Source organism: Homo sapiens, chromosome 2 (genome assembly GCF_000001405.40).
Source record: "Homo sapiens chromosome 2, GRCh38.p14 Primary Assembly".
Lineage (NCBI taxonomy): Eukaryota > Metazoa > Chordata > Mammalia > Primates > Hominidae > Homo > Homo sapiens.
The window spans coordinates 187502780-187526176 of NC_000002.12; the positions used below are offsets into that span (position 1 = coordinate 187502780).

The 23397-nt window shown below is 38.6% G+C and overlaps 1 protein-coding gene and 1 long non-coding RNA gene across 16 annotated transcripts in view, besides 1 other annotated feature; one reads left to right on the top strand and one right to left on the bottom strand.

Moving 5' to 3' along the window:
- CALCRL-AS1 (CALCRL and TFPI antisense RNA 1) overlaps nucleotides 1-23397 on the top strand; it is a 544253-nt gene that overhangs the window by 499507 nt on the left and 21349 nt on the right. The window lies entirely within an intron of this gene.
- The window catches only part of TFPI (tissue factor pathway inhibitor), a 90206-nt gene that overhangs the window by 38550 nt on the left and 28259 nt on the right, over nucleotides 1-23397 (bottom strand). For 5 of the 13 annotated variants that reach the window (NM_001329240.2, NM_001329239.2, XM_047445620.1 and 2 more), the window contains 2 exons: nucleotides 10837-10867; nucleotides 869-991 (listed from right to left, as the gene is read on the bottom strand). In NM_001329240.2, coding sequence (NP_001316169.1) covers nucleotides 869-989 — 121 coding nt within the window. In that variant the 5' untranslated portion in view covers nucleotides 990-991; nucleotides 10837-10867. Of the gene's footprint in view, nucleotides 1-868; nucleotides 992-10836; nucleotides 10868-17762; nucleotides 17840-23397 lie in introns of those variants that run through there. The other 8 variants (NM_006287.6, NM_001329241.2, XM_047445621.1 and 5 more) reach the window with 3 other exon arrangements.
- Nucleotides 17175-17860: an enhancer, noted in NCBI's record as "NANOG-H3K27ac hESC enhancer chr2:188384681-188385366 (GRCh37/hg19 assembly coordinates)". NCBI's record gives its function as "activates a minimal SCP1, AML or CMV promoter by ChIP-STARR-seq in naive H9 embryonic stem cells {active_cell/tissue: H9 hESC(naive)}" and the evidence as "EXISTENCE:reporter gene assay evidence [ECO:0000049][PMID:30033119]".

The following is a 23397-nucleotide window of genomic DNA, read 5'->3' on the forward strand; positions in this document are numbered from 1 at the left end:
CCTGTTTCTCTAGCACCTTCCACAGATTCAGGCCCAGAAGATGTATTTATTCAAACTTTATTAAAGTACACTGAACACAGTCATTTTAAAAAGCTATTAAAGCTATCAAATAAGAATGCATTTATGGAAATCTTTTTTACATCTTAAACCACTATACAAAAATAAGCTATCATTTTGTTAATATTCTCTCATTAATACCAATGCTTGAGATTTCTGTCAACAATTTACTAATTTGCCACAAAATGTTACTTTAAGAAAGGTATATATCCACAATAACCATCACCATACAGTCTTCTCCTTGCTCTATTTTTTATTGTTAATATTCTCATTTTTAGACACAGAGTTTTATGGGATTAGATCTAACTTATATTACTAGATCCTTTGGTGTCCTGGTTGACTAGATTTTTATATTAGTCTCAACTGGGAAGTTTTGATTTTGGAAATATGGGGAAGAAAGAGAGAATAGCTGAAACCTCAGATGTCTGAAGTTCCCTTTCCTCCTCACACTTTTCCTAGCCAAAGGGTAGCATCAAATGTCATAGGGAGTTGTTTTTACAACATTTTGCTCCTTGCAATAGCCCGGAGCTACTCCAGTGTTTAATATTGTATGCTGAAAAAAAAGAGAGAAGTGTTTCAGCTAAAGTTACTTGGTTTCGGACTGTTTAAAACACACATGTGCATGTACACACACACACACACACACACACACACACACACACACATACATTAGGTATAATAAATTTCCAAAGAAAAATATCACTTCAATAACAACTAATTTCCCTCCACAATGGAAAACTATGGTAGATTTTTTAGATTAAAATTGAGAGCTTTAACTAGCTTAAAAAGATAATTGCTTCTAATATTTTACCTGTGATAATTGTGTGTTCTTCATCTTCCTCAGAATCAGCATTAAGAGGGGCAGGGGCAAGATTAAGCAGCAGGCATACAGAAGCCCAAAGTGCATGTACTTTCTTCATTGTGTAAATCATCTCTGAAATACAGAACCCATACATATCTAATAAATAAAGTGTTAATATGCACTCATTTACAGACTAGTAAACATCATATGTGTACCTCATATGCAAATTTCTATGCCATTTTATGTGTATACACATACATTTCTCTGTGCATACTCAATGAGTCATACTTAAAATGTATATGTAGTATTCAGAATTATGGGCAAACACATTCAGTGCATATATTTATTAATATTCAAGCAAACAGGTCATATTTCAACTTTGAAAATATAAATAAAAAGGACAGTAATTGAGAGACATGGGTAAACGCTGATCAATATGGCGAAGTATGTATTAAAGTCCATTTCCATGTGCAATTTTACTTTCCACATCTTTCGCACAGCTATTCTTTCTCAGTCAGAACCAATAATTATTTAGGCATTTTTCTATTATTTCTTTAATGCAACTTTTAATTCCTGATTTATCTTTCCCTCTGCTCTAGTTCTTCTTTTAAAAAGGAAACACATTTTCAGAATTTTCATCTTTGTTTCCTTTAAAAAATACATTATTTACATCAATTTCCTAACCAGGTTTTCTGTGAGATAGCAGACAGCCAAAACAGAGGACAAAAGAAGTGTCTGACATTCGAGTTAGTCCTCTTTCCCAGTTCATTATTCCGCAGTTTAGGGAGTTATCTGATTCAAAAAGTTTCACAGAAAAGTGACTCTAAGTGATAAGCCATCACTCTTACACTCTAAAGGAATCAGATTTCAATAGGAGAGTGAGACTTTTCCTGTTTCAACGTTGTTTAAAGATCTATCGCCAAAAAGGAAAAAAAAAAAAAAGAAAAGAAAGAAGTAAGTCACCTTTATTTTTTTAAAGACGACTTCTTCTTTGGATTTAAAGGTGGAAGGAAAAGTGTAATGATCATGCAACACAGAAAAATAAAAGAAGAGAACACTTGCTTCCTTCCTGTTCTCAGCCACCAGTGCCCTTCCAGTCAGGAAGGAAAGCGAGATCTTATCAGCAAACATTCACAAATGCAGGGACAGATACTCCATCAAAAACAATCTAGAGAATTATCTGGTTTTGTCTGTAGCAGATCACAGCTGCAATATACACCATTGTGGGTAGCCATATAATAATTAAGTAATAAATGTTATTATGCTTTAAGTTTCATTAAAATCACTAGTGAGATACATAACCTTTTTTTCTCACAACACTTTGCAAGTGTTAACATACATTTGATTTTTAGTCAGTAGAGATCTCATATATCTTGTAAATCATACCATAAACCATTTGAATTCACAAATATATATATATATTTATATAGATACATGATTTTGAAGAATCTTGAAACTAAACTTCTAATCCTTATCGCATTTTTGAACACGTTTTTCAGAGATTCATTTATTTCCATTTGATTCTTTGAAATATACTATCCTGCTATACTTTGAGTATAAAATACAGAGTGTACTCTGCATCACACAGTTCAGGAAGCAGGCTGAGGTTGGGGGCCTGCTGAAGCCCTTGAGAGAGAGGGCTCTAAATTCAGCAAGTTCCTGTCTTAAAAAATGGCAGCCTAGGGTATTGCCTAAACTTAGTACTTTAGACTTTCGTTGGGTGCTAGGATTAGAAACCAGCTCTGACAAATTTGGATCATCAGTTTATTTATTCTAGAATATGTGGAACAATCTGAGATGACAAGGGCAGGCTTGCATTAGTTCTCAGAAACAGCTAGAGCTGGTGAGCTGAGCACCACCAGGTATTTCTCATTGTGGCTACACTCCTTAGACAGCTTTATTTTCTCTCAGTGTGACCCAATCTTCTCTGCATAGCATGATGCATGAACAATGAACTGTCCTGGGTTTTAAACCTTAAGAGTTTTTCAATCAAAATAGTGTGACTACTTCTCTTTATGGTCCAGGCTTAAATAGCTTGAGACTAGCTCTGATAGTTTTAGCATGAAACAAGGGACACCTTTTGGACCAATCCATTTGAGTTGGGAATTGTAGGAGACCATCATAGATTTGGTGGACCCAAAACCAGTCTGGGGTCAGGAATAAGAAAATGTAATAGCATGGCAAATATTAATGGAACCATATGGTTTGGGTGGTGGAAACGGACAAGTGTAACTCCCAGAAGGAGGAAATTGTTGCTTTCAGAAGGGAAGGGTGTTAGACAGATAAATGACTATATGACTATATGACTATATACCACAGCAAGCCATAGCTAAATAGTAGCGTATGTAATTTTTTTTTTAAAAAAAAGAAAAGCAAAAGGCAAATAAAGTACATGAATTGCAGGAGGAATCAAATATCTAAATTTTTACTCAAAAATGCTGTCTGGTTCTGGGTGATAACAGATTTAATGTAGGGATGAATCCATGCACCAACTTCTATATACCATGCAAAATCTTTTTCCTTTTGGAAAAATCCAGCTTTCTTAAAATTAGAAAACAGAGATTTATAAAACACCATTTGCAGATCTCCTCCCCCCATAGTTCAGCAGAGAATTTGCTGTAAACATCTGCTTGATAAGCCCATAATCCTGGCTTTCTAATAGAAACATCTTCTTTTAAAAAAATTGACCCCATTATTTAAAATAGTTTTAGATTTAAAAAAAAATAGAGAAGAATGTACAGAGACTTCTCATACACCTCACACCCAGTTTCCCTATTAACATGTTACGTTAGTATGGTGCACTTATCGTTAATATACCAAAATTGATACATTGTTACTAACTAAAGTCCATATGTTAATCAAATATCCTTATCTTTTCCCCAGCACGTTTCTGTTCTAGCAACCCATCCAGAATACCAAATTGCTCTAGTTGTCATCTCTCCTTAAGTTCCCTTGGCTGTGACAGTTTCTCAGATTTTTCTTATTTTTGATGATCTTGACAGTTTTGAATAATACTGGTCAGGTATTTTGCAGGGTATCCCCTTAATAGAATTTATCTGATGTTTTTACTCATAATTAGACCAGGGTTATGGGGTTTGGGAAAGAAGATAACAGAGTTAAAGTGCCATTTTTGTCACATTATGACAAGGATACATACTACCAACATAATTTATGACTGCTGATATTGATCTTAAACACCTGACTGGGGTAATGATTGTTAGATTTCTCCACTATGAAGTTACTTTCTACCCCTACCTTTCCATACTGTTTATTTATTTATTTTTTTATACTTTAAGTTCTGGGATATATGTGCAGAACATGCAGGTTTGTTACATAGGTATGCACATGGCATGTTGGTTTGCTGCACCCATCAACCCATCATCTACATTAGGTATTTCTCCTAATGCTATCCCTCCCCTAGCCTCCCACCCCCTGACAGACCCCGGTATGTGATGTTCCCTTCCCTGTGTCCATGTGTTATCATTGCTCAACTTCCACTTATGAGTGAGAACATGTGGTGTTTGGTTTTCTGTTCCTGTGTTAGTTTGCTGAGAATGATGGTTTCCAGCTTCATCCATGTCTCTGCAAAGGACATGAACACATCCTTTTTTATGTCTGCATAGTATTCCATGGTGTATATGTGCCACATTTTCTTTATACAGTCTATCATTGATAGGCATTTGGGTGGGTTCCAAGTCTTTTCCATTGTGAATAGTGCCGTGACAAACGTGTGAAAGCGTCTTTATGTAGAATGATTTATACTGGGTCAAACGGTATTTCTGGTTCTAGATCCTTGAGGAATTGCCACACCACCTTCCACAATGGTTGAACTAATTTACACTCCCAACAACAGTATAAAAGAGTTTTTATTTCTCCAGCATCTGTTATTTCCTGACTTTTTAATGATCACCATTCTAACTGACCAGTGATGATGGGCTTTTTTTCATATGTTTGTTGGCTGAGTAAATGTCTTCTTTTGAGAAGTGCCTGTTAATATCCTTCGTCCACTTTTTGATGGGATTGTTTTTTTCTTGTACATTTGTTTAAGTTCTTTGTAGATCCTAGATATTAGCCTTCTGTCAGATGGATATATTGCAAAAATTTTCTCCCATTCTGTAGGTTGCCTGTTCACTCTGATGATTGTTTCTTTTGCTTTGCAGAAACTCTTTAGTTTAATTAGATCCCATTTGTCAATTTTGGCTTTTGTTGCCATTGCTTTTGGTGTTTTAGTCATGAAGTCTTTGCCCATACCTATGTCCTGAATGGTATTGCCTGGGTTTTCTTCTAGGGTTTTTATGGTTTTAGGTCTTATGTTTAAGTCTTTAATCCATCTTGAGTTAATTTTTGCATTAGGTGTAAAGAAGAGGTCCAGTTTCTGTTTTCTGCACATGGCTAGTCAGTTTTCCCAACATGATTTATTAAATAGGAAATCCTTTCCCCATTGCTTATATTTGTCAGGTTTGTCAAAGATCAGATGATTTTAGATGTGTGCTGTTATTTCTGAGGCCTCTGTTCTGTTCCATTGGTCTATATATCTGTTTTGCTACCTGTACCATGCTGTTTTGGTTACTGTAGCCTCATAGTATAGTTGGAAGTCAGGTAGCGTGATGCCTCCAGCTTTGCTCTTTTTGCTTAGGATTGCCTTGGCTATATGGGCTGTTTTTTGGTTCCATGTGAAGTTTAAAGTAGTTTGTTTTTTCTAATTTTGTGAAGAAAGTCAATGGTAGCTTAATTGGGATAGCATTGAATCTATAAATTGGGCAGTATGGCCATTTTTCAATATTGATTCTTCCTATCCATGAGCATGAAATGTTTTTCCATTTGTTTGTGTCCTCTTTTATTTCCTTGAGCAGTTGTTTCTAGATCTCCTTGAAGAGGTCCCTCACATCCCTTGTGAGTTTTATTCCTAGGTATTTTATTCTCTTTGTCGCAATTGTGAATGGGAGTTCACTCATGATTTTGCTCTCTGTTTGTCTGTTATTGGTGTATAGGAATGCTTGTGATTTTTGTATCCTGAGACTTTGCTGAAGTTGCTTATCAGCTTAAGGAGATTTGGGGCTGAGAAGACTGGTTTTTTAAATATAAAATCATGTCATCTGCAAACAGAGACAATTTGACTTCCTCTCTTCCTATTTGAATAAACTTTATTTCTTTCTCTTGCCTGAGTGCCCCGGCCAGAACTTCCAATACTATGTTGAGTAAGAGCGGTGAGAGAGGGCATCTTTGTCTTGTACTGGCTTTCAAAGGGAATGCTTCCAGGTTTTGCCCATTCCATATGATATTGGCTGTGAGTTTGTCATAAATAGTTATTATTATTTTGAGATACGTTCCATCAATACCTAGTTTATTGAGAATTTTTAGCATGAAGAGGTGTTGAATTTTATCGAGGGACTTTTCTGCATCTATCGAGATACTCATGAGGTTTTTGTCATTGGTTCTCTTTATGTGATAGATTAAGTTTATTGATTTGTGTATGTTGAACCAGGGTTGCATCCCAGGGATGAAGCCGACTTGATCGTGGTGGATAAGCTTTTTGAGGTACTGCTGGATTTGGTTTGCCAGTATTTTCTTGAGGATTTTCACATTAATGTTCATCAGGGATATTGGCCTGAAATGTTCTTTTTTGTTGTTGTGTGTCTTCCAGGTTTTGGTATCAGGATGATGCTGGCCTCATAAAATGAGTTAGGGAGGTGTCCCTCTTTTTCTGTTGTTTGGAATAGTTTCAGAAGGAATGGTACCATCTCCTCTTCATATCTCTGGTAGAATTCGGCTGTGAATCTGTCTGATCCTGGGCTTTTTTTGGTTGCTAGGCTATTAGTTACTGCCTCAATTTCAGAACTTGTTATTGGTCTATTCAGGGATTCAACTTCTTCCTGGTTTAGACTTGGGAGGGTGTATATGTCCAGGAACTTATCCATTTCTTCTAAATTTTCTAGTTTATTTGTGTAGAGGTGTTTATAGTATTCTCTGATGGTAGTCTATTTCTGTGGGATCAGTGGTGATATCCCCTTTATCATTTTTTATTGTGTCTATTTGCTTCTTCTCTTTTTTCTTCTTCATTAGTCTGGCTAGCAATCTATCTATTTGCTGATCTTTTCAAATAACCAGCTCCTGTACTCATTGATTTTTGAAAGGTTTTTCCTGTCTCTATCTCCTTCAGTTCTGCTTTGATCTTAGTTGTCAGATATAAAAAGAGTTCCTCTTTAAAAGTTTGGCTTGTTTAGCGTCCTTGCTCTTTGTTCCCTACTCCCAAAGCCAAACTACATTCCTTATCCTTTATGCCTCCCCGTTTTAGTTTCAGTAAACAACTTTCCTATCATTCCTTATCTACAGAGCCCACATCTGCTAATCATTCTGTAAATCACCCCTCCCATTGTCCACCAGTGTAATCACACCCCTGCCCCTTTCAAGTTAGCCAATCAAGTTCAGTGTCGATTTGTACAGTCCAACTCCAGCTAACAGAGACTAGACACATGTCAGAGATGATAAATTCATCTTCAAAAAGTTTTAGTTCTGTGTTCTTCCTGTTCTTTGTTTCTCCAGTTTCTATAGTTAACTGTGCTATAAACAACCCTTCCCACCAGTCCTAATCTATAACTTACATCTGTTCTGTTCCCTTAGTTACGCACTCTACAACTATTCTTCCTGCTGAAACTACTTGTCCTACCACTGTAACCCACATCCTTGCTCTATTCAGATTAGCCAATCAAAATTAGCTTCAATTATACAGTCCAACTCAGTCAGTAAAAAAAAGACACAACAGTAAAAGCCCCTTGTGTTAAAAATAAAAAACCCTGCCCACCCCTCTTGGTGTGCTTTCAAAATGACAAATGCAAATAACACCCTTCTACTAAGAGAGGAGACCACCCCTCATATTGTCTTATGCCCAACTTCTGCCTCCAAAGAAAGAAGAAGTAAAAACTAAAAGGCAGAAATGAAATCCACAGGCAGGCAGCCCGGCGCTGTGCCCTGGGCCTGGTAGTTAAAGATCGACCCCTGACCTAACCAGTTATGTCATCTATAGATTCCAGACATTGTATGGAAAAGCACTGTGACAATCTCTGTCCTGTTCTGTTCCATTCTGATTACTGGTGCATGCAGCCCCCAGTCACGTACCCCCTGCTTGCTCAATCAATCACGACCCTCTCACACAGACCTCCTTAGAGTTGTAGGCCCTTAAAAGGGACAGGAATTGCTCACTTGGGGAGCTCGGCTTTTGAGATGCAAGTCTGCTGAAATTTCCAGCTGAATAAAGCTCCTCACTTCTTTAACCCGGTGTCTGAGGAGTTTTGTCTGTGGCTTGTTCTGCTACATTTCTTGGTACCCTGACCAGGAAGCGAGGTGATTAACAGAGGCCAAGGCAGCCCCTTAGGCAGCTTAGGCCTGCCTTGTGGAGCATCCCTGTGGGGACTCCAGCCAGCTTGAGCGATGCAGATCCTGAGAGCGCTCCTGGGTAGGCATTTGCCCCAGTGGAACGCCTCCTCAGAGCAGTGCACGGCAGGCCCCCGCAGAGGGTCAACGCAGTGGCTGAACACCGGGAAAGAACTGGCACTTGCAGTCTGGACATCTGAAACTTGGTAAGACTGGTCTTTGGAACTTGACCACTCCATTTGAGTGGAAGCGTGGCCTGATCACCCACGGCGTGTCTGTACCAGCACTTTGGTTTTTGTTTTTGACTTGACTTGGATGGCTTGATACTTTGGTTTTGGTTTTGACCTGGCTTGGATTTCTTGATACTCTGATTTGGTTTTGACTCTGGTTTGGTGTAAACTGTGAAAGTGTCTGTGTGCCCTTTTTACTTGTTCTTTGTTTTGCGGTGTGCATGTGGTGTTTTGTCTCGAGGAAGCATGGGTCAGGCACAAAGTAAGCCCACCCCACCAGGAACTATGTTGAAAAATTTCAAGAAAGGATTTAAGGGAGATTATGGTGTTACTCTGACACCAGGAAAAGTTAGAACTTTATGTGAAATAGACTGGCCAGCATTAGAGGTGGATTTCCCATCAGAAGTAAGCCTTGACGGGTCCGTTGTTTCAAAGGTATGGCACAAGGTAACCTGTAAGCCAGGGCACGCAAACCAGTTCCTGTACATAGACACTTGGTTACAGCTGGTTTTAGATCCGCCTCACAGTGGTTGAGAGAACAGCAGCATAAGCAGCTGACAGAGGCAAGGAAAGACCAGCAGAGAGAGAGAGATAGAGGAAAGAGACAGAGAGGGAAAGAGGCAAAGAGAGAGAGAAAGTGACAGGAAGAGACAGAAAGACAAAGAGGGAGTCAAGGAAAGAGAGAGAGAGAGAGATATACAAGTAGTTAAGAAAAAAAACAGTGTACCCTATTCCTTTAAAAGCCAAGGTAAATTTAAAACCTATAATTGATAATTAAAGGTATTATCCATAACCCTATAACACTCCAATAACACTTTCTTGTTGTCAGTGTAAACAAGGGAATACCCCAAAAGCATTGAGGCCGCTGATAACCCCTAGACTTCCTATCAAAAATCCTTGACCCAGTAACCTGCGGATGGCCCAAATGCATTCACTCTGTAGCGGCAACTGCTTTGCTAACAGAAGAAAGTAGAAAAATAACTTTTAGGGGAAACCTCATTGTGAGCACACCTTACCAGTTCAGAAGTATCCTAAGTTAAAAAAAAAAAAAAAAAAGACAAAAAGGTAGCTTACTAACTTAAAAATCTTAAAGTATAAGGGTATTCTGTTAGAAAAAAAAGAAAAAAGATGATTTAACATTAACTACTGAAAATTCCCTTAACCCAGCAGGTTTCCTAACAGGGGATTTAAATCTTAATTACTATACAAAGGTTCAACCAGACCTAAGAGGAACTCCCTTCAGGACAGGATGATAGATGGTTCCTCCTGGGTAATTGAAGGAAAAAAAAAAAAGCCATCTATACCAATTCTAAGTTAATTTGAACTAAACAAGTTCTTATTAATAGCAAAGGATAATTGAAATCCCAAACTTACAAGGTTTTCAGCAAAAGTAAAGTGTGCTAAAAGTTAACAGTGTAACATATATTATAGTAACTTCTAATCTTGTGGCCTTAGACAGTCTAGTCCACAGACATAAAGGAAGTCCACTTTGGAAAAGAATGGTTATCATCTTCAAAAAAAAGGGAAAAAAAGTTGGGGGGGGCCGCGAAATTTATGTAAAAAGAATGTTATATGGTAAATTCTTATCCTGAAATAAATTAACTGGTTGTTTAAAGAAAGAAATGTTTGTAATAAGTCAGAAAGTTAACGCATGTCAAAGAATTGTCTGTGAAAGTCATGAAAGAGAAAAAAAAGTTATAAAAAAGAATTTATGCAAGAAATGTTGTATAATTTAAAAGTAATTGGGCCTCCTGAATGTAAAACTATTGAAGAAACAGTTTATGTGCAAGGTGTATAAGGAAAGTAAAATATACCTTTGGTAAAGGGATTATAAGGAGGCATAAGAATGTGGATTTTTACCTACATTAAAAGGTTAAAAAAAAGTTTTCTTTTGAAGGCTTAAGCAAGTTTTAAAACATTAATCATAAAGAAAATTCTGTGTGTAAACATATTAGCTAAAGTTAAAGAGGTATCATCCAGTTTTTCTGTGAACTAAACATTAAAATAAAAACACAACGGGTTTTTTCTTAAATCACTAACCTGCTCTTTAACAAAAACTATAAAAGGTTAAAAAGAGTCTATAAAAATCTTACCTTATGGTCCAACATTAAAAATTGAATAAATATGTCTACGAAGTTTTATGAAAACTAAGTTTAACATTAATAACACACTAATATAAAGGTGAAATTTACTTATCTGGTATAAAAATCACACAAGAAGCATTGTCTAATTTCTTAAAAATTATATACACTTTCCTTTCCCTCAAAACTAAAAGTCTTTTAGCACACGTACCACCCCTAGAATTTCTGGTAAACCAGCTCCAGCCTAAAGATCACATAAGAAGGAAAACTTGAGCCATCCTGTGAAGGAGCTTACCTTGTGCTGCTAACCGCTGAGACTGCTGTTCCTACAATGGAAAGGGGATGGATTCATCACACCCAAGTCAAGAAAGCACCACCCCCTCCAGAGTCATAGGCCATAGTCCCAGGGGAAAACCCTACCAAACTAAGCTAAGAAAAATTTAACTCTTTCATCTATTCTATTACTCTTTCTTCTTTCCTCACTCTATTGCTGACCATCTAGTTATTAACATAACCAAGTCAATTTTGCCTCAAACTATTGCATTTAATGCTTGCCTTGTTATACCCTGTGGGGACTTACCAAGTCAAAGACAGCCCTCTACTTCAGAAAAGTACCTCTGACCTTCCTGACTCTCCTCAGACTGGGCATTAGTAAATTGGGACCATTTAATCCAGGGAGATTTCCATAAAGACCCCAGTGCCAACTAGGAGTCTTGCCCCCCGATGTAGAGCTTTTATGCCATAGTTGGTCCAACATTCCGTGGACCACTACAGAGCAAGGATGGACTTCCCCAACCGGTTTTTGTAATTTCCTAAAACCATATGTTCATTTTACTAGAGGATCATAGAAGTTAAAGACTTAATACAAACTTTGGCAATTAAGCAGGTTACCAAGATGCAAATGCCTGGTTGGAATGGATCAAATATTCCCTCCACATGTTAAACAAAAGCAATTGTTATGCTTGTGCACATGGCAGGCCAGAGGCCCAGATTGTCCCCTTTCCACTAAGGTGGTCCTCCAGTCAACCAGGCATGGGCTGCATGGTAGCTCTTTTCCAGGATTCTACAGCCTGGAGTATTAAGTCATGCCAAGCTCTTTCTGCTATATCCGGAAGTCGAGCACCCTGTGGGTCAGCCCTCGAGGGCCATCCCGCTTCCGTCTTCCAACACTAGGTTCACTTCGTGTCTCTCATGACAGGGAGAAAACTTAGCATTCCTTGGAGACCTGAAGGGATGCAGTGAGCTTAAGAATTTTCAAGAGCTTATCAATCAGTCAGCCCTGGTTCATCCCCAAGCAGATGTGTGGTGGTATTGTGGTGGACCTTTACTGGGCACTCTGCCAAATAACTGGAGTGGCATTTGTGCTTTAGTCCAGTTGGCTATCCCTTTCACCCTGGCATTTCATCAACCAGAGGGAGGAAAAATAAGACATTGTAAAGTGAGAGAAGCCCCTTATGGGCCTTTCAACTCTCACATCTATTTAGATGCAATTGGAATCCAAAAGGGAATACCAGATCAATTTAAAGCCCAAAATCAAATAGCTGCAGGATTTGAGTCAATATTTTGGTGGGTGACAGTTAATAAAAATGTAGATTGGATAAACTACATCTATTACAACCAACAGCAACGAGCTTTTCATGAGTTAAAAGAAAAACTCATGTCGGCCCTAGCCCTGGGGCTACCTGACCAGACAAAACCTTTTACACTATATGTGTCAGACAGAGAAAAAAAAATGGCGGTTAGAGTTTTGACCCAGACCATGGGGCCCTGGCTGGGGCCAGTGGCCTACCTCTCTAAACAACTAGATGGCGTTTCTAAGAGTTGGCCCCCATGTTTGAGGGCTTTGGCAGCAACAGCCCTGCTAGCATAAGAAGTGGATAAGCTAACTCTTGGGCAAAACCTAAAGATAAAGGCCCCCCATACTGTGGTGACTTTAATAAATACCAAAGGACATCATTGGCTAAAGAATACTAGACTAACTAGATACCAAAGCTTGCTCTGTGAAAATCCCTGCATAACCATTGAAGTTTGCAACACCCTAAACCCCACCACCTTGCTCCCCGTATCAGAGAGCCCAGTTAAACATAACTGTGTAGAGGTGTTGGACTCAGTTTATTCTAGCAGGCCCAACCTCTGAGACCATCCTTGAACATCAGTAGACTGGTAGCTGCACGTGGACGGGAGCAGCTTCACCAACCCCTGCAAAGTGACTCTGAAGAAGATGACAAGCGCTGCTCCAGTCACACCCAGAAGCTGACTGGTCCACGCACAGCCGAAGCATGAGGAAACTCATCATGGGACTCATTTTCCTTAAAATTTGGACTTGTACAGTAAGGACTTCAACTGACCTTTCCCAGACTGAGGACTGTTCCCAGTATATACGTCAAGTCACTGCGGTAGGACAAAAGGTTGCTACAGTTCTATTATTTTATGGTTATTATAAGTGTACCAGGACTCTAAAAGGAGCTTGTTTGTTTAATGCTATTCTATACAAGGTATATAGCCCTGGAAGTGACCAGCCTGATGTGTGCTATAACCCATCCTTTTTCCTAGTGCCCATAAAAACAGGCACACTTCTAGGCTTCCCAGTCTGTGCTTCCCGAGAAAAGAGAAGCATAGCTATAGGCAGCTGGAAAGATGATGAGTGGCCCCCTGAAAAAAATCATGCAGTACTATGGGCCTGCCACTTAGGCACAAGACGGCTAGTGGGGATACCAAACCCCCATTTATATGCTCAACCGAATCATACAGTTAAAAGCTGTCTTAAAAATAATAACTAATAAAACTGGTAGAGCTTTAACTGTTTTAGCCCAGCAAAAACCCAGATGAGAAATGCTATCTATCAAAATAGACTAGCCCTAGACTACTTGCTAGCAGCTGAAGAAGTAGTCTGTGGAAAATTTAACCTAAACAATTGCTGTTTGCACATAAATGATCAAGGGCAAGTAGTTGAAGACATAGTTAAAGATATGACAAAACTGGCACATGTGCCCTTGCAAGTGTGGCATGGATTTAATCCTGGGGCCATGGTTGGAAATGGTTTCCAGCACTAAAAGGATTTAAAACTCTTATAATAAAAATTATAATAGTAATAGGAACCTGCTTACTACTCCCTTGTTTGCTACCTGTACTCCTTCAAGTAATAAAAAACTTCATCACTACCTTAGTTCACCAAAATGCTTCAGCACAAGTATACTATATGAATCACTATTGATCTGTCTTGCAAGAAGACATGGGTAGTGAGGATGAAAGTGAGAACTCCCACTAATGAGAGAGGTTCTCAAAGAGAGGGGGATAAGGGAGGAGACCACCTCTCATATTGTCTTATGCCCATTTCTGCCTCCAAAGAAGGAAAAAGTAAAAACTAAAAGGCAGAAATGAAATTCACCGACAGACAGCCCAGTGCCACGCCCTGGGCCTGGTAGTTAAAGATCCACCCCTGACCTAACCGGTTACGTTATCTATAGATTCCAGACGTTGTATGGAAAAGCATTGTGAAAATCCCTTTCCTGTTCTGTTCCGTTGTGATTATCAGTGCACACAGCCCCCAGTCACGTACCCCTTGCTTGCTCAATCCATCACGACCCTCTCACGCGGACCCCCTTAGAGTTGTAAGCCCCTAAAAGGGACTGGAATTGCTCACTCGGGGAGCTCGGCTTTTGAGATGCAAGTCTGCTGAAGTTCCAGGCTGAATAAAGCTCCTTCCTTCTTTAACCTGGTGTCTGAGGAGGAGTTTTGTCTGTGGCTCGTCCTGCTACACTACAAAAGTAAAATTGCCTTACTAAGTAATCTTTTATTGAGCACACGTTTTCTTCGCAGCACCAAGCACTTGTTTCTAACCTTAGTTATTTCTTGGCTTCTGCTAGCTTTTGAATTTGTTTGCTCTTGCTTCTCTAGTTCTTTAAATTGTGGTATTAGGGTGTCAATTTTAGATCTTTCCTGCTTTCTCTTGTGGGCATTTAGTGCTATAAATTTCCCTCTAAACACTGCTTTAGCTGTGTCCCAGAGATTCTTGTATGTTGTGTCTTTGCTCTCATTGGTTTGAAATAACTTATTTATTTCTGCCTTAATTTTTATATTTACCCAGTAGTCATTTAGGAGAAGGTTGTTTAGTTTCCATGTAGTTGTGCAGTTTTGAGTTTCTTAATCCTGAGTTCTAATTTGATTGCACTGTGGTCAGACAAACTGTTTGTTATGATTTCCATTATTTTGCATTTGCTGAGGAGTGTTTTACATCCAATTATGTGGCTAATTTTAAAATAAGTGTGATGTGGTGCTGAGAAGAATGTATATTCTGTTGATTTGGGGTTGAGAGTTCTGTAGATGCCTGTTAGATCCACTCGGTCCAGAGCTGAGTTCAAGTGCTAAATATCCTTGTTAATTTTCTGTCTCATTGATCTGTCTAATATTGACAGTGGGGTGTTTAAGTCTCCTACTATTATTGTGTCAGAGTCTAAATCTCTTTGTAGGTCTCTAAGAACTTGATTTATGAATCTGGGTGCTCCTGTATTGGGTGCATATATATTAGGACAGTTAACTATTCTTGTTTCATTGATCCCTTTACCATTATATAACGCCTTTCTTTGGCTCTTTTGATCTTTGTTGGTTTAAAGCCTGTTTTATCAGAGACTGGGAATGCAACCCCTGCTTTGTTTTGGTTTCCATTTGCTTGGTCAATATTCCTCCATCCTTTTATTTTGAGCCTATGTGTGTCTTTGCACTTGACATGGGTCTCCTGAATAGAGCATACCAATGGGTCTTGACTCTGTATCCAATTTGCCAGTCTCTGTCTTTTAATTGGGGCATTTAGCCCATTTACATTTAAGGTTAATATTGCTATGTGTGAATTTGATCCTGTCATTATAATGCTAGCTGGTTATCTTGACTTTTAGTTGATGCAGTTTCTTCAGAGTGTTGTTGGTTTTTACAATTTGGTATGTTTTTGCAGTGGCTGATACAGATTGTTCTTTTCCATGTTTAGTGCTCCTAGAGGAGCTCTTTTAAGGCAGGCCTGGTGGTGACAAAATTTCTCAGCATTTGCTTGTCTGTAAAATATTTTATTTCTCTTTCCCTTATGAAGCTTAATTTGGCTGGATACGAAATTCTAGGTTGAAAATTCTTTTCTTTAAGAATGTAGAATATTGGCCCCACTCTCTTCTGGCTTGTAGAGTTTCTGCAGAGAGATCTGCTGTTAGTCTGATAGGCTTTGCTTTGTGGGTAACCCAACCTTTCCCTCTGGCTGCCCTTAACATTTTTTCCTTTATTTCAACTTTGGTGAATCTGACGATTATGTGTCTTTGGGTTGCTCTTCTTGAGGAGCATCGCTGTGGTGTTCTCTGTATTTCCTGAATTTGAGTGTTGGCCTGTCTTGCTAGGTTGGGGAAGTTCTCCTGGATAATATCCCGAAGAGTGTTTTCCAGCTCCTTTCCATTCTCCCAGTCACTTTCAGGTACACCAATCAAACGTAGATTTGGTCTTTTCATATAGTCTCATGTTTCTTAGAGGCTTTGTTCATTCTCCTTTTTCATTCTTTTTTCTCTAATCTTGTCTTGACACTTCATTTCATTAAGTCAATCTTCTACCTCTGATATCCTTTTTTCTGCTAGATTGATTCAGCTATTGATACTTGTGTATGCTTCACGAAGTTCTCATGCTGTGTTTTTTAGCTCCATCAGGTCATTTATGTTCTTCTCTAAACTGGTTATTCTAGTTAGCAATTTCTATAATCTTTTTTTTAAGATTTTTAGCTTCCTTGCATTGGGTTAGAACATGCTCCCTTAGCTTGGAGGAGTTTATTATCCACCTTCTGAAGCCTACTTCTGTCAATTCATCAAACTCATTCTCCGTCCAGTTCTGTTCCCTTGCTGGCAAGGAGTGTGATCTGTTGGAGGAGAAGTGTTCTGGTTTTGGGAATTTTCAGCCTTTTTGCGCTGGTTTTTCCTCATCTGCATGGATTTACCTACCTTTGGTCTTTGATGTTGGTGACCTTCAGATGGGGTTTCTGTCTGGATGTCCTTTTCGTTGATGTTGATGCTATTCCTTTCTGTTCGTTAGTTTTCCTTCTGAAAGTCAGGCTCCTCTGCTGCAGTGCAGGTCTGCTGGAGTTTGCCTGAGGTCCACTCCAGACCCTGTTTGCCTGGGTATCACCAGCAGAGGCTGCAGAACAGCAAAGTTTGCTGCCTGTTACTTCCTCTGGAAGCTTTGTCCCAGAGGGCACCTGGCAGATGCCAGCTGGAATTGTCCTGTATGAGGTGTCCATCCGCCCCTGCTGGGAGTTGTCTCCCAGTCAGGAGACACAGGTGTCAGGGATCCACTTGAGGAGGCAGTCTGTCTCTTACCAGAGCTCGAGTGGTGTGCTGAGAGATCCTCTGCTCTCTTCAGAGCTGGCAGGCAGGTACATTTAAGTCTGCTGAAGCTGAGCCCACAGCCTCCCCTTTCCCCAGGTGTTCTGTCCCAGGGAGATGGGAGTTTGATCTATAAGCCCCTGACTGGGGCTGCTGCCTTTTTTTCCAGAGATGCCCTGCCTAGAGAGGAGGAATCTAGGGAGGCAGTCTGTTTACAGAGGCTTTGCTGAGCTGTTGTGGGCTTCGCCCAGTTGGAACTTCCCTGGGGCTTTGTTTACACTGTGAGGGGAAAACCAGCTACTCAAGCCTCAGTAATGGTGGACGCCCCTCCCCCTACCAAGCTAGTGCGTCCCAGGGCGACTTCAGACTGCTATGCTAGCAGCAAGAATTTCAAGCCAATGAATGTTAGCTTACTGGGCTCTGTAGGTGGTGGGATCCGTTGAGCTAGACCACTTGGCTCCCTGGCTTCAGCCCCCTTTCCAGGGGAGTGAACAGATCTGTCCACTGGCATTCCAGGCACCACTGGGGTATGAAAAAAACTCCTGCAGCTAACTTGGTGTCTGCACAAATGGCTTCCTGTTTTGTGCTTGAAACCCAGGGCCCTGGTGGGGTAGGCACCTGAGGAAATCTCCGGGTCTGTGGGTTGTGAAGACCATGGGAAAAGCATCGTATCTAGGCTAGAGTGCACCATTCCTCAGGGCACAGTTCCTCTTGGCTTCCCCTGGCTAGGGGAGGGAGTTCCCCAATCCCTGGCACTTCCCTGGTGAAACAATGCCCCACCCTGCCTTGGCTTGCCCTCTATGGGCTGCACCCCCTGTCTAACCAGTCCCGATGAGATGAGCCAGATACCTCAGCTGGAAATGCAGAAATCACCCACCTTCTGCGTTGATCTCTGCGGGAGCTGTAGACTGGAGCTCTTCCTATTCGGCCATCTTGCCAGCCACCCGTACTGTACTTTGGAAGAAAGTCACTACATATAGCCAGCACTTTAAAAGAATGGAGAATTATGGTCCCTATCCTTAAGGTGAGAGTATCTATATAAATTGTTCGGAATACTTTTGCACCAGATATTTGTCTCTCTGTATTAAATTATTTAATCCTTTATTTATATAAGTATGGACTCATGGATATATATTCTATACTTTATGTTATAATTCACTATGACTTTACTTACATTGTTGCTCAAATGGTCTCCTGGCTTTGGCAAATTTGAGAGAGCATTCAGTTGGCTCCTGTACTTCTTTGAGATAGCTCCATCAATATGAGTTTTTAATTTTTTCTGAGTGCCTTACTTTTTGTCACTACTAGATGCCCCAGTCTCATATTGTATATTTTATGCCCCACTCTTATAATCACAGACATTTCTCCAAGAAGCCCTGATTCCTTCTACTAGAGATTGGTATTAGAAACCCAGATCTGGGCACTAGGCATGCTCATTGTTATTGGGATGTCATTTCTTTTAGGCCTTCTTTTTGGCAGATTAAAGGAATATATGTGTATATTCTATCCTATCTGTAAAGGTATACTATCTTTAAATACATCAATATGTTCTGTGACTGGCTTATTTTACTTAGTATACCATCCATGTTGTCACAAATAGCAGAATCTCCTATTTTAAGGCAGAATAATATTTCACTGTATATATGTATATACCACATTTCTTCATTCATTTTTAAAAAGATACTTGAATTGTTTCCATATCTTGGTTATTGTGAGTAATACCTCAGTGAACATGGGAATACAGATATCTTTTCAAGACTCTGATTTTAATTCTTTTTTTATATGTACCCAGAGGTAGAACTGCTGGGTTGTATGGCAGTTTTATTTTTAATTTTTGAGAAACCTTCATATTAATACCCATAGCTACTCTACCATTTTACATCCCCGCCAACAATTTGCCAGCATTTCAATTTCTTTTTTTTGAGACAGAGTCTCACTCTGTCACCCATGGTAGAGGGCAAAGGTGCAGTCTCGGCTCACTGCAACCTCCACCTCCCGGGTTCAAGTGATTCTCCTGCCTCAGCATCCCGAGTAGCTGGGATTACAGGCGCCTGCCACCATGCCTGGCTAATTTTTGTATTTTTAGTAGAGACAGGGTTTCACCATGTTGGCCAGGCTGGTCTCCAACTGCGGACCTCATGATCCACCTGCCTCTGCCTTCCAGAGTGCTGGGATTACAAGCGTGAGCCACTGCACCAGGCCCAGCATTCCAATTTCCACACATCCTTGCCAACATGTTACATTTCGAGTTTTTAGAAAAATAGCCATTTTAACAGGCATAAACTGATATCTCATTATTATTTGATTTTCATTTCCTTGGTAAATAATGCTGCTGAGCATCTTTATATATCTTATTTGTACGTCTTCTTCGGAGAAAAATGTGTTTAACTCCTTTGCCCATTTTTTAAAAATTTCTGCTATTGAGTTGAAGGAGTTCCTTATGTATCTTGGAAATTATCAGATATATGACTTGAAAATATGTTCTCTCATTTCAGTTTGTCTTTTTATTCTGTTGATTGTTTCTTTTGCCACGCAGAGCTTTTTAATTTGATGTAATCTTGTCTATTTTTGCTTTTGTTGCTTGTACTTTTGGTCTCATATTCAAAAAATCATTGCCAAGACCAATGTCAAGATTTTCCCCTATGCTTTTGTCTAGAAGTTTTACATTTTCAGGTAGTAACTATAATAGTTAAACTGATAGAAGAAGAGAATACAATAGTGGTTGCTAGGGCCTGGAGAGTGGGGAAAATAGAGTGCTTGTTGTTCAATGGGTACAAAGTTTTAGTTATGCTAGAATAGTAAATTCTAGAGATCTGCTGTACAACATATTGTTTATTGTTAACAACATGGTATTTTGTGTTTCAAAATTTCTTAAGAGGGCAGATCTATTTTGTCTTCCTATCACAAAACAAACAGAAAACGAAAACAAAATAAAAAGGCGGGGTGTGGTGGCTCATACCTGTAATCCCAGCACTTTGGGAGGCGGAGGTGGGTGGATCACGAGGTCAGGAGATCAAGACCATCCTGGCTAACATGGTGAAACCCCGTCTCTACTAAAAATACAAAAAAAAAAAAAAAAACCCAGGCACGGTGGTGGGCGCCTGTAGTCCCAACTACTCGGGAGGCTGAGGCAGGAGAATGGCGTGAACCCGGGAGGTAGAGATTGCAGTGAGCCGAGATCGTGCCGCTGCACTCCAGCCTGGGTGACAGAGCGAGACTGTGTCTCAAAATAAATAAATAAATAAATAAATAAATAAATAAATAAATAATAAAAAACAGAGACACAACAAAACTTTGGAAGGTGTTGAATATGTCTATTATTTTGATTGTGTTGATGGGTATTTATTTGCATATGTACAAACTCATCAAATTTTACATAACAAAAAATGTGCATGTTTCACTGAGATACAATCACTATACAAGGAACTGCACATATTACTGTCTAAAATTTGATGAGTTTGTGCAGTTTTTAAATAGTGATTATATCTCAATGAAGTTGTTTAAAAACTTCAGTGAAATAAATAAATACATAAATAAATAAGGAACCAACTTTGTTTAAGTGAAACATGAGTTCTTATGCATGTGTTCAACACATGAATTATTTTAGCCCTTGAAACTCAACTATCACTATCCACCAACTCTTTAATTAATTGTTCAATTAAAATATACATGTATAGCAATAGGAATATTGTTAACCCATATGTCCATGGAATACAGCTTTATTAACTAGAGGGCAGTGTCTGTGTGCAGTTCCTTTTACCTTTAGACTTATAGGCTCCACTTATTTTCAATGTTATTTAGTTCAGCCCTCCTCCACCCCCAAACTCCTTCAGTGAGGTTGCCTTAAACATTCATAGCAGAGTGAGATTTTCTTGTCACAGTCTGCATTCCTTCCAAATTCCTGACCTTTTAATTTATTTTTTTTAAATTGTATAAATTAAGGTTCACTCTTTGTGCTGTAGCTGTCTATGGGTTTCAACAATTGCATAGTGACACATATCCACAGAATAGTTGTAGTATCATACAGAATATTTTCCTCTAAAAATTCTCTGTGCTTCATCCATTCATCCTCCTCCTTCCCTCCTCTATTCCCTTTGAAGTTACTGATCTTTTTACTGTATCTATAGTTTTTAAGTAATTCAATCATTCACAATTTTGTACAAATATTATTACAGTCAATTTTAGAATATTTTCATTCCCCCATAAGGAAATTCTCCACCCTTTAGGCTTCACCCTCTTCCCTTAAAGTTCTCCATCTCTACATTAGTAGGAAACAATTATTTGGCTTCTGTCTCTATGTATTGCCAATACTGAAAGCTTTAGTTAAATGGAATAATATAATATCTGGCCTACTATGTCTGGCTTCTTTCACTTAGCATACTGTTTTCAGGCTCCATTCATGCTGTAGCATATATGATTGCTTTCTTTTTATTGCTGAAAATATTTTATAGTATAAATATACCAAAATTTATTTATTCATTCATCAGTTAATGAAAATTTTTGCTGTTTCTACTTTTTGCTTATTATGAATAATGCTGCTATGAACATTTGTATACAAGTTTTGGTGTGAACATAGGTTTGCATTTCTCTTGGGTATATAACTCGGGGTAAAATTCTTGAATCACATGGCAATTCTATGTTTAACCATTTGAGGAATTTCCAGACTGCTTTCCAAAGTAGCTGCACCATTTTCCTTTCATACCAGTAATGTCTTCCTTTCTTTTTTGAATGACACTCATCACCATTTATATATTTATGTGCATTTATATATTTATGTGTGCTGTCTCCACCACTAAAATGTTTTCTATTCTTAGCACAGGCACTTTACATAGGATTCACAACTCTGTGTTCAATACCCCAAACAATGACTGATACAAGTAATACTTGATGAATAATTAATAAATTAGAATAAACTTTGTGAGTTAAAATTAGGCGGCAGTACAGATCTTTGGATATATGCATGGTGTTTTATTACTACCAATTCCACCAAAAAATAAAGAGATCAGAAACAAGTATTGTGAAATGGTGCCATAAATATTTTTAAAATTGTGTCTTGTATTGCTTTTCATTTTTTAAAGGTATGAAATACTTCAATTAAAATTGTTTTAAAGAATCTGTAATGAAAATGAAACAAATGACATAGATTTAACATTTTTTAAATTTTGCTGAAATGATAGGTATTTTTCAAGTCAAAGAAAACAGATAAGAATGATTGCTGAAATTCCAGCAAAAGAGAAATGTGAGTCTGTGGGAAAGATGACTAAAGAAAGGTGGGCTTAGAAAAGAGATAATTAGGTAGAAGAAATGCATAATTTGCTATTTTACTCTTTCTTTATAATATTAATATTTATGAGAGAATATGTGAAAGAGAGGTCAATGTTCTGTATTGAATCTACTAAGAGAGGACACAAGAAAGGAAAGGAAAGAAAAAAGGAAGACCTTTGAGACTTTCACTTTTTATGAACTCTTCTATGAACTTCATATGAACTATAATCCCCCTAATAGCCCTAACCTATAAGAAGTATGATGTGCATCTTAAGAAAACTGAGGTTCATAAAGGGAATATAACCTTCCAAGTAGCATAAAACAGAGTAATATTTGCACTCATAACTCTGTGAGTCCAGAATTCATGGACACTTCACCATACAAAGCTGACTTCCCAATAATTACTTTGTCTCCAGCATCATCTGGAAAGCATTCTGCCTCCAGTTGTCTTCATAATTATTCTGGTTTGCTTGGCAAGTAGCTCCTTTCTTTCTCCCTTCCTCCCTTCCTTTTTTTCTCCTTCCTCCCTCTTTCCCTCTCTCTTTCTCAGCTCTTCCTTTCTTTTTTAAGTTCGTTTAGTGGTTAAGAAGAGGGGGTTTGTAGTAAGACTGTTTTAGGGGCTGAATTGTGTCCCCTTTCAAATTTATATGTTAAAGTTTTAACTCCCAGTACTTCAGAATTCAACTGTATTTGAAAACAAGGCCTCTAAAGAGGTTACTAAGAATAAATGATGTCATTGTTGTTGAGTCCTAATCCAATATGACTGGTATCCTTATAAAAACAGGAGATTAGGACACATAGAGGAAAGACTGAACATCTATAAATCAAGGACAGAAGGCTCAGAAGAAACCAATCTTACTGATCACCTTGATCTCAAACTTATAGCCTCCAGGACCATGAGGAAATAACAAACTATTCATTTTTAGCACTTTGTTATGGCAGCCCTAGCCAACTAAAACAGACTATAAAGCTTCAAATATCAGTTCCGTAACTTACTAATTATATGAATTTGATACTATATTTACTTCCTATTTGTCTCTATTTACTTATCTATAAAATGAGTATTTTACTAGAACCTACTACATAGTATTATGAGGATTAAATATAAAAGAATTAGAATAGTGACTAGCTTGATAATGTTAGCTATTATAATTTTTATAAGCAATCCTTGAAAACCTCTTGGGTACACTGTAGAAACAGAAGCTCAGTATTTATAGATCTTATTCTGCATTGAGAATGTCATCTCA